This window comes from Homo sapiens, chromosome 12, assembly GCF_000001405.40.
Source record: "Homo sapiens chromosome 12, GRCh38.p14 Primary Assembly".
Taxonomy (NCBI): Eukaryota; Metazoa; Chordata; class Mammalia; order Primates; family Hominidae; genus Homo; species Homo sapiens.
Window position 1 is genome coordinate 70,582,125 of NC_000012.12, and position 17,855 is coordinate 70,599,979.

The 17,855-nt window shown below is 38.0% G+C and overlaps 1 protein-coding gene across 10 annotated transcripts in view; it reads right to left on the reverse strand.

Moving 5' to 3' along the window:
- PTPRB (protein tyrosine phosphatase receptor type B) overlaps positions 1–17,855 on the reverse strand; it is a 121,560-nt gene that overhangs the window by 66,255 nt on the left and 37,450 nt on the right. For 8 of the 10 annotated variants that reach the window (XR_944651.2, NM_001330204.2, NM_001109754.4 and 5 more), the window contains 5 exons: positions 13,925–14,203; positions 12,343–12,600; positions 10,158–10,421; positions 7,840–8,109; positions 4,883–5,143 (listed from right to left, as the gene is read on the reverse strand). Coding sequence is in view for 8 of the 10 variants with exons in the window: in NM_001330204.2 (NP_001317133.1) it covers positions 4,883–5,143; positions 7,840–8,109; positions 10,158–10,421; positions 12,343–12,600; positions 13,925–14,203 (1,332 nt within the window). In the remaining 2 variants the exon portion in view is untranslated. Of the gene's footprint in view, positions 1–3,035; positions 3,167–4,882; positions 5,144–7,839; positions 8,110–10,157; positions 10,422–12,342; positions 12,601–13,924; positions 14,204–17,855 lie in introns of those variants that run through there. The other 2 variants (NM_001206971.3, XM_017019724.1) reach the window with 2 other exon arrangements.

Here is a 17,855-nt window from a genome sequence, read left to right on the forward strand (position 1 = left end):
TATACACAGATCTTGAAGTTGGCACTTGGTCAACATACATTCTTCTTTGTGCCTCTTTCCTGAATTACAATAATCAAAGGGACTGGAACCTTGGCACCCCTCTTTCTCAAAGTTCATTGACTTCTGGATTAAGATACAAAAGCGTTCATTAAAAAAATCCTACTGTATATGGATCAGATTCAATTCTAAAGATTCAATTATAATTCTAAATTTTATATGAAAGGCAAACAGCTACAGTGGCCAAAGCAATTTTGAAAAAGATGAATAAAGTTAGAGGACTAACACCACCTGATTTCACTAAAAATCTTGTAATCAAGACAGGATAATACTGGCAAAGGGCAGACAGAAACATAGATTGATAGAACAGAATTGAGAGCCCAGAGATAGAAGAATATGCTATCAATGGATTTTTTAGAGATTCAAAGGCAATTTCATGGAGAAAAGATAGTCTTTTCAATACATAGAGGTAGAATTATCAGATGTCTATATGCAAAGAAAAAAACCTTCACCTATATCTCACATCATATATAAAAATTAACTCAAAATGGGTCGCAGACCTACATTTAAAACCTAAAACTATAACCTTCTAGGAGAAAACCTTTGTGACCTTGATTTAGGCAAATATTTTTAGATATGACACCACAGCATGATTTATGAAAGAAAAAAACTGATAAATTGGACATCAAAATGAAAAACCGACAGAAAACATTTTGACCAAGGACAAACAAACAATCCTATTTTAAAATCCAGCAAAATATTTGAACAAAAACTTCCCCAGAAAAGATAAATGGGTGACAAATAAGCTTGTGAAAGGATTCTCAAACCCATTAGACATTAGAAAAAGGCAAATTAAAACCACATGAGCTATCATTATCTTATTATAATGGCTATTCCATTAGAATGGCTAAATTTTAAAACAAACTGCTAATACCATGTACTACATGCTGAGAACACGGAGGAAGTGGAAATTTCATACATTGCTGGTGGGAATGTAAAATTTTACAATACTTTGGAAAGCAGTTTGGCAGTTTTCTACAAAGTTAAACATGCATTTACCATATGACCCAGCAATATGGGTGGTGGGGATGATAAAAATGACCTTAGGTCTAAAACAATGTCTTGGACTTCCCTTTCTGGCAGTATGATAGGCTAGATACCATGAAAATCCTTCTAATAAACACAACTATACATATTGGATAAAATGTGAAAATGTAAATGAATGACTTGTCAGGAATGTAAGAGATTCTCAAAGGCCAAAAAGTAAAGGATAGAGAGGTAATTGGATCATAAAGCGAACTGTTGTGTTGAGAGCACCTTTCAAATGCAAATGTAAGCTTTGATTTTATAGCACTGCAGGATATTGGAGAAAGGAGGTAAAGTGTAGATTTTTCCAGGCTGAAGAAACTCATAGCTGACCTTGCATAACATTGGAAAGGCTACATTCTAAGTATAAGTGAAATAAATAGTCTCTCTTTACTCCCCATACAACTTCAGCCTTCTTAATACTGGATGGAGAAAACGATTTCCTCTGAGAACTCATAACCTTAAGATAGTTTCAATGTGTTTGCAACCTGAATTTATAAAACCCAGGTGATCAAAGAACCTAAAGTTGACAATTTAGATTAAAGTAGGTCTGGTTTGATAGCAGTCTTGTGCACCTGAAAGAATCAAATGAAAATTCTTTCTGAAACTCACCTTCAAACATGGCCTTAAATAATTTCCACAGAATAAAATTCTAGGGAAAACAGGCTTACAGTAAAAAGAAATCACATACATTTAAAGAAATAAAGCAACATAAACAAAAGGCAGGAAAATCAAAAGACAACAGAACTTAACTCCTGAAGATTTCAGCTATTATAATTATCAGACATAGGATGGAAAATAAACATTGTTAATTTGCATATAACAATACAGGAGGGGAATGAAAATATAACTAAAGAGCAACAGAGCACAACATAAATTTGAAAGAGAGCCAAAGAGAATGCTTAAAAGTGAACATAACAATTAAAATTTAAAACAGTGGGTAGATTTTAAAATAGATTAGACAAAGCTGAAGAAAGAATTAATGAAATGAATCAAAGATATGAGAAAGTTACCTATACTGTAGTTCAGAGAGAAAACACATGGAAAATATGAAATATATTGATGTGTTCATATATGTGTGTTCTAGAATACCAGAAGATGACAGAGTGGGGAATGGAGAAGGGGCAAGAGGCAATATTAGAGAGTTAATAGCTGAGAATTTCCAGGATTGTAGAAAGACACTAGTTGGAAAGTACAGAAATGCCAATCAATCTTGAGCAAGAGAAACAAAAAGAAATATATCTACACCTTGATCATTATTGTGAAACAACTGAACCCCAAAGGCAAAAAAGCAGTCATAGCAAACAGACTCATAGAGAAATAAAAATCAGACTGACAGCTGACTCAGCGCAACAATAAATCCCAGAAAGACTAGAATAATATCTTTTATGTGCTGAGAGAAAGTAACTTTAAACACAGAGTTGGAACTTAAGGAAAATATCTTTCAAGACCGAGAGCTATATAAAAATGAGAGCTATATAAAAATATGCCCAGCAAAAACAAAATTTGAGAGAGTTTGTCCCTAGAAACTCTCAATGAAGAAATTTGAATAACGTTCTCCAGGATAAAGGAAAATAATCCCAGATAAAACATCTCAGATGCAGGGGGAAAAAATGAGAAAAAAGGTAGTAAATTGGTAGGTAAATCTAAACAGATGTTGACTATATAAAGCAATAATTATATTTTTGTGGGATCAAAAGAGGAGAGAAAAATAAGATACAGGACAATAGTATATACATTGAAAAAAGAAATTTCTTTTTTTTTTTTTTTTTGAGGCAGGTTCTCGCTCTATCACCCAGGCTAGTGTGCAGTGGCAGGATCTCGACTCATGCAACCTCCACCTCCTGGGTTTAAGTGATTCTTATGCCTCAGCCTCCCGAGTATCTGGGATTACAGGTATGTGCCACCACTCCCAGCTAATTTTTGTGTTTTTAGTAGAGACAGTGTCTTGCCATGTTGGCCAGGCTGGTCTTGAATTCCTGGCCTCAAGATCCACCCATCTCGGCCTCCCAAAGTGCTGGGATTACAGATGTGAGCCACGGCGTCCAACTAAAAAGGGAAATCTTGATGACTTTGCTTCCAATTACACTGAAAAAAATGAAAGCAATTAGAAGATAACTGCTCACCCTACAACGATCCACCTATTGGCATCTGCACCCACATATTCTCTCTTTCCTAGCTGATACGGTTTGGCTCTGTGTCCCCACCCAAATCTCATCTTGAATTGTAATCCCCATGTGTCCAAGGAGGGAGGTGACTGGATCATGGGAGTGGTTTCCCCCATGCTGTTCTTGTGTTAGTGAGTGATTTCTCACAAGATCTGATGGTTTTATAAGGGGCTCTTTCCCCTTTCATCTCCATCACTTCCCCTCCTGCCACCTTGTGAAGAAGGTGCCTGCTTCCCCTTCACCTTCCACCATGATTTTTAAAAATTAATTAATTAATTAATTTTATTACACTTTAAGTTCTAGGGTACCTGTGCACAACATGCAGTTTTGTTACATAGGTATACATGTGCCATGTTGGTGTGCTGTGCCCATTAACTCATCATTTACATTAGATATGTCTCCTAATGCTATCCCTCCCCCGACCCCCGACCCCACAACAGGCCCCGGTGTGTGATGTTCCCCACTCTGTGTCCAAGTGTTCTCATTGTTCAATTCCCACCTATGAGTGAGAACATGTGGTGTTTGATTTTCTGTCTTTGGGATAGTTTGCTCAGAATGATGGTTTCCAGCTTCATTCACGTCCCTACCAAGGACACGAACTCATCCTTTTTTATGGCTGCATAGTATTCTGTGGTGTAATATGTGCCACATTTTCCTAATCCAGTCTATCATTGATGGACATTCGGGTTGGTTCCAAGTCTTTGCTATTGTGAATAGTGCCGCAATAAACATACGTGTGCATGTGTCTTTATAGCAGCATGATTTATAATCTTTTGGGTATATACCTAGTAATGGGATGGCTGGGTCAAATGGTATTTCTAGTTCTAGATCCTTGAGGATTTGCCAGACTGTCTTCCACAATGGTTGAAATAGTTTACAGTCCCACCAACAGTGTAAAAGTGTTCGTATCTCTCCACATCCTCTCCAGCACCTGTTGTTTCTTGACTTTTTAATGATCGCCATTCTAACTGAACTTCCACCATGATTATAAGTTTCCTGAGGCCTCCCTAGTCATGTGGAACTGTGAGTCAATTAAACCTCTTTCCTTTATAAATTACCCAGTCTTGGGTAGGATCTTTATAGTAGTGTGAAAACAGACTAATATACCAGCTGACATTGAGATTAGATTCCCCATGCTCCTTTCTAAAGCCAATTCCTTCACTTGTGCTCTAGATCCCAATACCTCTTGCCTACTCATGGAATAACTGCAGCAATTCTTCCCTCTCACTTTACATCATCATGATTTCCCTTCTACATCTTCTAGATCATTCCCTCCAGCATAAAACATGCTGTTATTTCTTCTGCCTTTAAAAAATCATCCTCCTTTCAACCATAGTTCCTCTTCTAGATGCTGCCCTATTTCTCTGCTCTCCTTTACAGCAAAACTCCTTGAAACGGTTGTTCTTTACTCTTTTTCAAGTTTAGCAAACTAAATCCAAGCAAAGTAAAAAGAAGGAACTAATAAAGATAAGAACTGCAATTGGTAAAATAGAAAACAAACACAATAGAAAGGATCCATAAAGCAATGCCCAGTACATAATAGGCAGTTAATGAATACTTGTAAATTGCATGTTAAATAGTAATTCAGCAGACAGAACACTTTAAAATGTAAAATTTATAAAGGTTACTACCTGTTCTTCCTTTTACTGAAGAGGAATTTTTTAAGTCTCCACTAATACTGGTGACTGTAGCCATGTATTTTCGTCCAGGCACCAGGTCAGTAAAAGTGAATTCTTTGGCATCTTTGGAGAGTGACTTGTGGATCAGTAAGAGGTCTCTGTCAGCTAGGGAAATGATGTATTTCTCCCATTCTGCTACAGGGGTCTGCCACATGATACTCAGTGAGGTTTCATTGGCATGTTTGACACGAAGCTGGAGGACAGCCAGGGGGACTGAGGAAAAAGCAATGGAGATGGGTCATTGATGGACTGAGGCATATTCATAGGGTATACTTTTGATAGTTCTCCTCTTCCATCCTTAAGCGTGTTTCAGTTCAACATTTATTTTATGAATGTCTCTGAGCATTAAAACAAAATCTTATCACAAAAAACTTTGTTCATGTAATGTAACCAGAAATACAGACTCAATTAGAAAACATCTTGCCAGAAGAGTCATTGATTTTTGACTGTATAATACTTTGAGTTTATCTTTTTGTATGAATTCTGTAATACAAAAATATTTACTCCAATCTTGTCATTCACAAAATCACAAAGAAAAGTTCCTGTTTAAGTATTTAGGTGGAGTTAGGAGTATTTGTTACCCCCATAGGTTGAGGAGACCAAGTGCAACTTTCCCTCATTTCTGAGGTGGGGGACACTGATGTGTTCATGGAAGGGCGAGTTGGCTGGCAATAATAGCATTTAATTGAGGACTTATCTCAAAATTGATTCCTTTAAAAGGTTTTATTGTTAAAATTTCTAGGAGACATTAAGAATAAACTGTTGGTTGGGTGCGGTGGCTCACATCTGTAATCCCAGCACTTTGGGAGGCCGAGGCGGGTGGATCACTTGAGGTCAGGAGTTTGAGACCACCCTGGCCAATATGGCAAAACTCCATCTCTACTAAAAATACAAAAATTAGCCGGGCGTGGTGGCTCACATCTGTAGTCTCAGCGGGAGGCTGAGGCATGAGAATTGCTTAAGTGGGGGAGGTGGAGGTTGCAGTGAGCTGAGATGGTGCCACTGCACTCCAGCCTAGGCAACAGAGCAAGACTCTGTCTCAAAAAAAAAAAAAAAAAAGAAAAGAAAAGAAAAGAAAAGAATAAAGTGTTGCTGCCTTAAATTATGAAAGAATCAAGTATTAAAAATTTTCTTGTAAATTTTGCATCCATAAATTTTCTATAAATCCATTCTAATTGAGTCCCTAACTCTCCATCTTCCTTCTTCGGTATAGAGAAATAATTTGATTATTTACATCGAGGCCTACTTCAAGTTACCTGAATAAGGTGAACCAGAGACACAGTTTAAGAAAAGTTTGGGCCGGGTGCAGTGCCTCATGCCAGTAATCCCAGCACTTTGGGAGGTTGAGGCGGGTGGATCACCTGAGGTCAAGAGTTTGAGAGCAGCCTGGCCAATATGGTGAAACCCCATCTCTACTAAAAATGCAAAATTAGCCAGGTGTGGTGGCACATGCCTGTGATCCTAGCTACTTGGGAGGCTGAGGCAGGAGAATCGTTTGAACCTGGGAGGCAGAGGTTGCAGCGAGCCAAGATCATGCCATTGCACTCCAGCCTGGGCAACAAGAGTGAAACTCTATCTCAAAAATAAAAAAGAAAGAAAAAGAAAAACAAAAGTTTGGCCTGGCGCCGTGGCTTGTGCCTGTGATCCTAGCACTTTGGGAGGCCAAGGTAGGCGGACTGCTTGAGGCCAGGAGTTTGAGACCAGCCTGGCCAACATGGTAAAATCCTGTCTCTACTAAAAGAACAAAAATTAGCTGAGCCTGGTGGCACACGCCTGTAATCCCAGATACTTGGGAGGCTGAGGCACAAGAATTGCTTGAACCTAGGAGGTGGGGGTTGCAGCGAGCCGAGATTGTACCACTGCACTCCAGCCTAGGCCTGGGAGACAGAGCAAGACTCTGTCTCAAAATGTAAAAATAATAAATAAATAAATAAAAGTTCTCCTGAGAATTATGCTGACATGCTGAGAGCCCCTAATGTTCTGTGATCTTCCATTTCCAAGTTATTTGAGGTGAGTGATAAAATATTGGAGATGACAGAGATGCTTGTCCTGTGAAATACTAAAAGTCGCTTAGTTTAAGCTCTGTAGGTCTTTGATCATCATCCAGTGGATATTAATATTTGGAAGATGAGGAGATTACTGCAAGACACATTGGCAAGCTAAGTGGGTGTCATGATCCTTTTCTTTGACATTGTTCTAAGAAGAACAGTGAATCCATGTAGTTATTTCCCTATTATCAGGCGAACTAAGAAAGAAGGTATTTGAATTTCACTCTAAATATGGAGTATTTCACATTACAAGGATTATCAAGCAAATGTTGAACTTGGAAGTGCAACTCTCTTATTTGACAATATGAGTACAAGTATTTGACAGTATGAGGATACTGAAACATGAGTCTTGGTATTCTTGCTGTCACGATTATATTGCAAAGCTTTGGGCAAGTTATAACCTCTTTGAGCCTGTTTTCTCATTTCAGTATCCTTATTCTTCCCTTCCCTAAAATCCAAATATATCCCTCTCCACTTTAATCACTCTTCATTGGTACCTGAAATCCCCACATTAGTCAACATGAGGTCAAGGCAATGGTTCCCTAATGCTGATCACTAGCAAAAGGTTCTTCTTTTGTGGGAAGGGTCAGTGTTTGTTTTCAGAATGTATGCATCTTACTCTTTTGGTGTTTGAAATGGCTTTCTTTCATGAAATAATGGAGTTACTAGTGGAAGTGATTTTAAATGTTCTAATTTGACAAATTAGGTGTTAGAAACCCCATGTTAGCCTTAAAGTCCTTAATATCTCAAATTCAGAAAACACCAGGGTATGATATTAGCAGTTACGGCAGTTACCTGGGTTACCTGGGAGAGGGAACAAATTACTCTTCCATTGGTATTAACATCTTCATATTTGCCTACCTGTCCTGCCTTGGCAACGCTCAGAATTCTTCAAATTTCCACTCTCAACAATGACTTCCACCTCATACTGTCTTCCCGGTACGAGCCCCGTGTCATCCATGACATACTGTGTTTCTTCCTTTCCCACAGTGATGTTGAGCAGCACCACAGAATCATTGAAGAGTAGGATCCGATACTGCTCCCAGTCTCCAGCAGGGGGCGACCAGCTCACTACAAGAGACCTCATCCTGCCATTATTGTTTGCCTCCAGGTTTGCAACTTTGTCTGGAACTAAACGGTGAAATGATGTCAAAAAGGAGATATTACAGACCAAAAGTAAGGATACTCATTTACTTTTCTTGGGCAGCAGTAGATAGGAGACACAATATCTGCAGTTCAAAACATTTCTATCCCCTCTTGATGTCTGTGGATTGCAAATGAGTGTTCTTTATTTCGGAGACATTTGACACACAAGAAATGTCCGCTAAAATCATTTTAGTGATATCAGTAATGTAATCTTCTGTTGTAGTGTTAATAATCTAGTGATATGTGGCATCCTTTGTAAGAGATATTGGATGTCGTGATCATGAGGCATTCCTTTCTTTCTTTTCCAACTAAAAAGATTAATGTTCTTGCAAGATTAAGTTCTTTTTTTTTTTTTTTTTTTTGCTTAAAAACATTCAAGGTCTCTCTATAATCTGCAGAATAAAATGTCAAGCCCTCTGCTTACATTTTTGGCTCTTTAAGTTCAGACCCCATATCCTTCCAGTCTTAACTGAGACTACTTTCTGAAGCCATCCTCTCTCCTTCCCTACCCTTTGGAAAGCTGGCTTCCGGTTGTATGTTCTGTAGACCTGCAAGTCTCCTGGGCCCTTCTGCCTCTGGGCCTTTGCTTATTTTGTCCCCTCCACCCCAAAAGCTCTTCCCTCTTTTCCCTCTTTGTCACAAACGTTACATTTTTTAGGTCCTTATTAAAGATCATTTCTATTTCCTCCAAGTTTTTTTTTTTTTTTTTTTTTGAGACAGGGTCACACTCTATTGCTAGGCTGGAGTGAAGTGATGCAATCATGGCTCAACCACAGGGCTCAAGCAATCCTCCCAGCTCAGCCTCCTGAGTAGCTAGGACCACAGGCACATGTCACCATGCCCAGCTAATTAATTTTTTTTTTTTTTTTGTAGAGACGAGGTCTCATTATGTTGCTGAGGTTGGTCTCAAACTCCTGGGCTCAAGCAACCCTCCACCTCAGCCTCCTAAAGTGCTGGGATTATAGCCATGAGCCACCGCACCCTGCTCCCATTTCCTCCAAGTTTTTACTGCTCTTATGAAAGAAAATTTTATCTTTCCTTTTTGACCATATATCTCTTACTTCAGATCTCTAATAGCAGAGAGAATGGACTCTGGAATCAAATAGCCTGGTTTAAATTCTAGCTCTACCACTTACTGGCTGGATGACTATGGACAAATTATTTGACCTCTTTGAATTATCTGTATAATGGTAATAAATAACAAGACATCTCTCACAGTTTTGTTGTGAGAACTAAATGAAATAATGGATATAAATTATTTAGTCAGTGCCTGATACATGCAAATATCAATACAGTCACTATTATTAAAATGTACTATTTTTATTTTTGTACATGTGTGTATTCCACATCTGTGTGATTAAAATGAAAGTTTTCTAAAGCAGGAGTTGGACAATTTTTTCTGTAAGGATCAGGTAGTAAATATTTCAGGTTTTGCAGGACACATATGGTCTCTGTCTCATCTTTTTCTTGTTTGTTTCCTTATTTGTTTGTACAACCCTTTAAACATGTAAAAACCACTCTTAGCTTGAGGGCTAAACAAAATCAGGCCACAGACCAGATTTGGCACCAGATGGGGTAGTCTGCTGGATCCTGCCTTAAAGGCAAGTAGCATGTCTTAGTCGTTTTAACAATAGTACAGTAATTTACATATATAAGGCACTGGATAGATAAGTGAGGACATAAATTAATAAAATAATGTATGGAAAACATGGTTAAATGCTAACTGGTTCTCACTGTAAGAATGAATCAGAAATGTTTTATATACTGGTATCAATGCTAATGCATTTATGCTACTTAAGTGACGTGACATGAAAAAGCATAAGACAGAAACAACATGCAGATCATTCAGAAATCCAAACTCAGTTGCCTAAGTGACTCAGAAGAATGGGCCATACTACAGACACCTTCAGTTACATAGGCTCCACTTCTCAGATTGGGAAAGGAGTTTTCCTGCTGACTTATTTTGTCCTATTTTAAGGTGGATCAGAGAGTGATTTGAGCAACCAAGGAACATTCTGGAGCCCAAGACTCACATGTTCTGCCCACTGCCATCTTCTGAGCAGACAGTTCACCAGAGACACAGCTGACAGTAACTTGATAAAGTCGACCGGGGACTAACTCTTTAAAGTGAGTTTCAGTAATCCAAGGTGCTAATACTCTGGATTCCTTGATGGTCCCTTTGTGAGACAGGGTGATATTGTAAGAATCCACATTTCCAGGAGGTCTTTGCCATTTGACTTTTAGAGAGGTCAAACTGCCATCATTTGTCACCTTCAGATTTGAGACTTCCATGGGGGCTAATCAGGAAAGAACAGAAAGGAGACTTTTACTCAGGATCTCTCACAAGTCCTATGGCCAAATTTTGACCTGTAATTTTATTTCTGCAAGCCACATTCCTTGCTCTGGAGAAAACAAGCACTTCAAGAGGCAAATATTATCCTCTTCAGATGGTGAAAAAATAAAAATAAAAAAAGGTTTTAAAGAGGCAAAAAGTAATGTTGTAAAACCAAAGGTAGGCTATATGCCTAGTGGCAAGGCCAAAACCTTGGCAGGCAGAAGCCTGGATTCTGGTTCAGACTGGGCCATTAGTCAGCTGGGAAACTCTGGACAGCTCTTTCTAGTTCACTGAGCCTTATGGTGTTTCTTATTGGCAAATGAGGCTAGGTCAAAGACCTACAATGGTCCTTTCCAGTTCAGAAATTCTTTAAGTGGAATGCACAAAAAGGTCTGCCATCTGCCTCATTTCTTATCGCCTTTATATATTAATATTCAATAATATTGAGTACATAGTAAATAGATCGATCAATTGATTGATTACAAAATTTTATGTGATAAAACTACTTTAATTTTTATATTAAATCATGATAAAGTTAATGAGTTGTGTTACTACTTCATCAGAGGAAAATGATTAAAAAGGAGATACCCTTTGGTGAATACTCTTTCTAGAATATAAATTAATGAAGCTTCCTTAACAGAATGGGCGGCCAGGAGCAGTGGCTCATGCCTGTAATCCCAACACTTTGGGAGGCCAAGGCGGGTGAATCACCTGAAGTCAGGAGTTCAAGACCAGCCTGGCCAACATGGTGAAACCCCATCTCTACGAAAAATACAAAAATTAGCTGTGCGTGGTGGCAGGTGCCTGCAATCTTAGCTACTCGGGAGGCTGAAGCAAGAGAATCACTTGAACCTGGGAGGCTGAGGTTGCAGTGAGCTGAGATCGCACCATTGCACTCCAGCCCAGCCAACAAGAGCAAAACTCTGTCTCAAAAAAAAAAAAAAAAAAAAAAAAAAAGAATGGGCACAGCACTCTGATTTTGCACAAGGCAGTCAGGAATGCAATTTGCTCTTGATGTACATAAATAACTTTTAAGATATATAGAACATTTTTGGCCAGGAATATCTACATATATTTGAGGTGTGTTATAAAAGGTATGTAAATGTACCGGTGTCCTCAAATATCTTTCCCACCAGCCTCCCATAGTTCCAGAAACTAATGTCTAAGGCACTACATATATTAGAGTTTCTCTTAAAATTAGATAACTTACCAAGAGAGGAGATTTAATTCACACATTAGACTTGCTAGAAGCATTAGATTCTACTAAAATGTAAGCGCTGTGAGGGCAAAGACTTTGTCTCTCTTGGATATTATATCAGCAATGCCCAGCATCTAGCTTACATTCAATAACTATTGGCTGAATGAATGAAAGTTTGTATAAATTACTCATTAATACTTAGCATAGATTCATTTATTAGTCTAGGGTAGGCTGTGGGAGTAGGTCCTGTGGTATTGGGTCCCAGGTCATATGGTTAGATAGAAAATTTTGGAAATGACTGTCACACAGGAGTAGGGTATGTATAGCATGGAGAAAGTAACTCTGGTTCACTGTGAGTGATGTCATAAAGACAGCAGTTGCCTGTTTAAGAAAAGGAAGTAGGAATCCTTAGCAAGGAGATAGAGTATTAAAAAGAGAAGAAGAGAAGCTAGGTCCATATCAGTAATTAACTTTGCCTACTTCAAAATGTTGCCAAGGGCTAGCCTAAACTTTAGAATAAAAGAGAATCCTTCTTTTTCTGAGTAGAAAAGTGGATATGGGTCTTCTATACCTTATAAGAATTTCAATTTGTCCTATATTACAGTTATTCATATAATAAACTTGACTTATTAAACATTCCCTTGATTTCACTTTATTCTTCTTCAGCTAGCTAGGGGGAACTTACCTGTCCTGACTAGTTTCCACCTGTAGTTTTGCAGCCCTGCAGCCTCAGTCATAACAGTGAGGTTGTAGAGGTAGCCAGGGGTCAGCCCGTGAAAAGCATAGGAAGTAGCATGTTTGTCCACAACACCGCCATGAACTAGGATCCCTTTATCCATTAGCATCAGCCGGTATCGTTCCACATTCCCAGAACCATGGGACCAGGAAATCAGGAGAGAATTGGCTTTTGTGGAAATACCAATATCTTTCACTGGAGATGGCACTAGTGGGATAAAATGCATGTCCAAATGTCATTAATAATTCCCTTATAGGAGACATAGACACATTTAATTAGAAGTCACATATTCATTTGTGTTCCTCTGTACATCTTAACTTGATAATAGCATTAGTAAATAACAGGATTCTGGAAATTTCACTGGAACTTTGATTAGTGCTCTTTTCAAAGTCTGCAGCCTCAAGTTACATCATAATTTACTTGTCTGCCTCCCCCACTTAATAGGTATTAAGGTGGCTTTTGCCAGTGAAGTATATAACATTGCACAGCAGTAAGTAGAAGAGAGAAAGGAAAGAACTATAGAAGATGAAAAATGGAGAGGAAGATTTAAAAAAGAGAGGGAAAATGTGGCACATATACACCATGGAATACTAGGCAGCCATAAAAAAGGACGAGTTCATGTCCTTTGCAGGGACATGGATGAAGCTGGAAACCATCATTTTCAGCAAACTAACACAGGAACAGAAAACCAAACACTGCATGTTCTCACTCATAAGTGGGAGCTGAACAATGAGAACACATGGACACAGGGAGGGGAACATCACACACGGGGACCTGTTGGGGGGTGAGGGGGATAAGGAAGGGATAGCATTAGGAAAAATATCTAATGTAGATGATGGGTTGATGGGTGCAGCAAACCACCATGGCACGTGTATACCTATGTAACAAACCTGCATGTTCTGCACATGTATCCCAGAACTTAAAGTATAAATATCCCAGAACTTAAAGTATAATAAAAAAATTTAAGAAGAGAGAAAATGAGGGGAGAGCAAATGACATGAAAGACATGTACTTTATGGAAGGAGGTAGTGATGTGCCATGTATATCATAATATGTGGGTGCACAGATGCCTTATTTTTCACCACATTGGAGAAACAAAGACTTGTTTCAAACATAGGAATAGTTAGGAAACATTATGACTTGATGTTATGAGAAGAGTATACAAAGAATAAAAACATCTAAAAAATAAGTTTTATGGCACAAACTTAGAAAATGGGGCAGAAAGTCTTGTTGCTTTGGATTTGAGTTAGAAGGGCCATTAGGGAGTATCCATTCCAAGTTGGAGAAAACTCCAATTCCACAGAAGTCCCATGACTTCTTCAAAACCACTCAACAAGTTACCAGCATAGCCACGCATCCTATTTTCAGTCCAGTCTGTCCACTGTATCCCACAAGCTCCTTTTAAAAATTTAACTAATTGCTAATTAATTAACTTTGCTCTGGAGTAGCAATCTTACTCCTATTCCTTGAATAAAGTATAACTTGAAAAGTATCCTATTAACTACTCAGCTATAAAATAAACAGGTCTTACCTGTTGATCCATTGGTATAAACTGAAAAAGAACGTTTTCCTCCAGAAACAGCTGTGATGGCAATATTGTATTTACTACCAGCAGTGAGATTGAAAAAAGTGTATTCATTCCATGAAGTACTTTCTTGAATTTGAACCCCCTGTATCTTTTGGTTATTTTCATCAAATAATTGCACCTCATATGAGGTGACTTTTCCGGAAGAAGGAGTCCACCAAACATGCAAGCTGGTTGAAGTCGTCTTCTCTTTACTGACTCCAAACCTAGCAGGAGGTAAAGGATCTGCAAGGCAAATACACACACACACACAAAAAAAAAAAAGAAAGAAAAAGAAAAAAAAAGAACATGGCTTGAAGACTTTTGCAAATAACTGCTTATTTTACTGCAGTCCAGGTTCATTTTTCTCAAAAATCTGTTATTTGTGAAATAAATTGCCATTTTGCTTCACTTCCAAACCTACCCTTTCACTTTCTTAAAAAAAAAAAAACCCATTTAGCTACTAGTCATATGAATTCCTTTTTCTACTGAAACTTTTTTTGTTGTTGTTAAGGTAGCTCTGATCTTGAAAGTCCAAGCAAAGTTATATTTTCTTTGGCTTGCAGTTTAGCAACTTTTTCAAACATTGACAAACATCCAGGTTATGCCTGGATAAATACTGAAGATCTCAACAGAAAATCTAGATATTAAGAAATAATTTGAAATATACACTGAACTTCTTCCTAGGTTGTAGATTGTTGGTGTCTAGTATATGTAACTTTGGGTGGTTTTTAGATATTAGACAACCACAAAAGATACACATCTGATTATAAACCTAGGATAGGGTTGCTTACCAAAATGGATTCTCCCAGTAGCTGGGATTCCCTATATCCCTAGATTTTTTTTTTTTTTTAAGATGGAGTCTCGCTCTTGTCACACAGGCTGGAGTGCAGTGGCGTGATCTCGGCTCACTGCAACCTCCGCCTCCCGGGTTCAAGCAATTCTTCTGCCTCAGTTTCCCGAGTAGCTGGGATTACAGGCACACGCCACTGTGTCCGGTGAATTTTTTTTTGTATTTTTAGTAGAGACAGGGTTTCACCATGTTGGCCAGGCTGGTCTCAAACTCCTGACTTCAGGTGATCTGCCCGCCTCAGCTTCCCAAGGTGCTGGGATTACAGGCATGAGCCACCGCATCTGGCCCCCTATATCCCTAGGTTTTTAAAATCTCAATTTTGGGGCACTTTGGTGCTGCCAGAGCACCCAGAGTAAGTGGGAATGGGCAAATCTTGCACCCAGCTGTTCACCTTATTTCAACTCTCAAAGCCAAGGATCAGTTTGAGAAGTCCTGCTTTGCCTATGTTGAATCTCCACCATTGAACTTGAATAGAATAAAAAGCATATCAGGATTAGGAACTAAGTCAATGATATTTAGTGAGCAGCCATTCTTTTGGTACAGTGGGGAGTAAAGTCTAAGAAATAAGGGGCTGCCCCTACCCTGAGTGCTGAGAGTAGAACTATTGAGAGACCTCTTTATGAGAAATTTTCAGAAATCCAACATGGTTCTTGGTCTAGAAAGTGGGATCAAGATATTGGAGACCAATATTGAAGGGTCAGGTCAGATATTATAATGGCATGGCTATAGAAACTTCACTACTTCCTGGTAGACTATATTGTGTTCACAATATAACACCAGGAATTCTAGACCTTATTAGAAGATATAACCTTCTTATATGTTTTAAGATGATATTCACTTGTAATTTACATATAAAAGAAATAAGATAGCCTTACTCTATATTCAAAAGGCAGTTATAAACAGACAACTCATAAGACTATGTATGGCTGACCAATAGACACCATAGGCTTAATAGAGCCTATGAAATCTAATGTTTCTATGTTTTATGCTATGATTTATGCTAAGTACATCATATTGCAAAATTATATATGCCACATTTATAACATCAATAATTAATAATAACATAAATGTTAGCTGACAAGCAAGCTGAGGCAGCAGTAACTATGACAAAAATTAACAGAGTGCCCGAAACACAGGTGAGCTTGGAAGACAAGGTTGCATGGTTCACACCACAGCACAGCCCTTTGGTTCACCTGAAGAACATATGTTCTAGGGTTTGACAGCCCGGGCTTGAATTGGGCTCTCCTATTTGTAGCTGTGTGCTTTGGGCAATTCCTTAACCTCCCTGTGCCTCAGTTTCCTCATTTATGCAATCCTGATAATAATATCTTTTTAGTAGAATTGTTATGAAGATTACATTGAATATTATATAAAAAGTAGTTAGAACTGTATCTGGCACGTAGTAAGTACTCAGTGTTAGCTGTTATTATTTTTATTATTCCTATAATTAGGTGAAAATATTGCCACAGAAGCAGTGAAATGTAATGGCAGACAGCATGGGCTTTGGAGTCAGAATTAAATTTAAATCTCAGCTCTAACAAAGTCATGAGACTTTGGGCAAGCTATTTAACCTGTCTAAGCCTCCACTTTCCTATCTGGGGAGTATAATAATAATACTTATATTCCAAGGCAGTTTTGAAAAGTAACAAGATATAGAGGAGTCTATGAGATTCTAATAGCCAGTGAAACTCAAGAACAATGCTGTCGTACCCAATTGAGATGACATACTTTTGCTGAAGTGGCATTTTAAGGACAAGGATGAGAGGGACAGCTGCTTCCAGTGATAGTTCAAAAGGGATCAATACTATCATCTACATGTACTATCAAGCCAGATAAAAATTTTAAAAAATAATGTCATGATCAGTAGAATCCAAACATATATAATCCACAAAATATGAGATATAGAAATAAATTTTAAGGTTGCGTGTCTAGAGGGTGAAGTTCAGAAATGCAGACTTTATCTAATCTTTCTGAGCCAGAAAACAAAACAGTCAATCCTTTGTACATCCGCTAGAACAAAGGAACAATGAGACTGGGAAGTGCCTGGGCTGCGAGAACCTGCACTGGAAACAAACACTTAAAACCCCATTTATACTGTGATAAAGCCCTTTGCTGGCAGTTGTCCACTATTGCTATGCATGCTGCAGAAACTAAATAGTTTTCAGACTCCCTTTAAATCTAAGCCCAATAAAAACTCTGATGGATTTAAAAAGTTTTCAAAATTTTATTAGATACTTCTATCAGGGGTGCACATTTCATATAATATGACTGTGTGTGTATGTATTAAATATATGTATATAGATATATATATGGAGAAAGAGAAAATTTTTAATGCTACTTGAAAATTTAGTCATGTACCTATAGTCTTCTGATCATATGACAGATCGTACATAATTAGGAAATCCTACTTGACTTATATAATTTATGTGAATGGTTAAAGGTATCAATGCACAGATGTGTGCATTTATAGCCTCTGGTTTTTCCAATCATCACACTCATACGCATAGTAACCAGTGAAGTATTATAAAATATGAGAACTAATAATAAATCAAATCAAAAAATAATAAATCAAAGCTTTAGTCTTGATTAATATATCAATATTTATCATTAGCCATAAATTTAGAGCACTTTGTAATTCTTGGTTCCCAACAGACCTGAAATATGGAATGACAAATGCATAGTCAAAATGAATAACAACAGTAAGTTCTATAATATTCATTGTATATACTTGAATAAATCTACCAGCACCAGAAAGCCCCAGAGTTCCATAAGCAGGCTTGACGTCAACACAATTTTTCTTTTCTCAAAAGAAAAGACAAAGTATGGCAAAATTCCTGAACCAAAATGAATTCTTTTTTCCTTTTCTTTTTTTTAAATGTGACTTAGGAAGCCAAGTGTGATGATGTGTGCCCTTAGTTCCAGTTACTCAGGAGGCTGAGGCAGGAGGGTTGCTTGGGTCCAGGTATTGGAGGCTATAGTGCATCATAATAGTGCCTGTGAATAGCTACTGCACTTCAGCCTGGGCAACATAGAAAGACCCTGTTT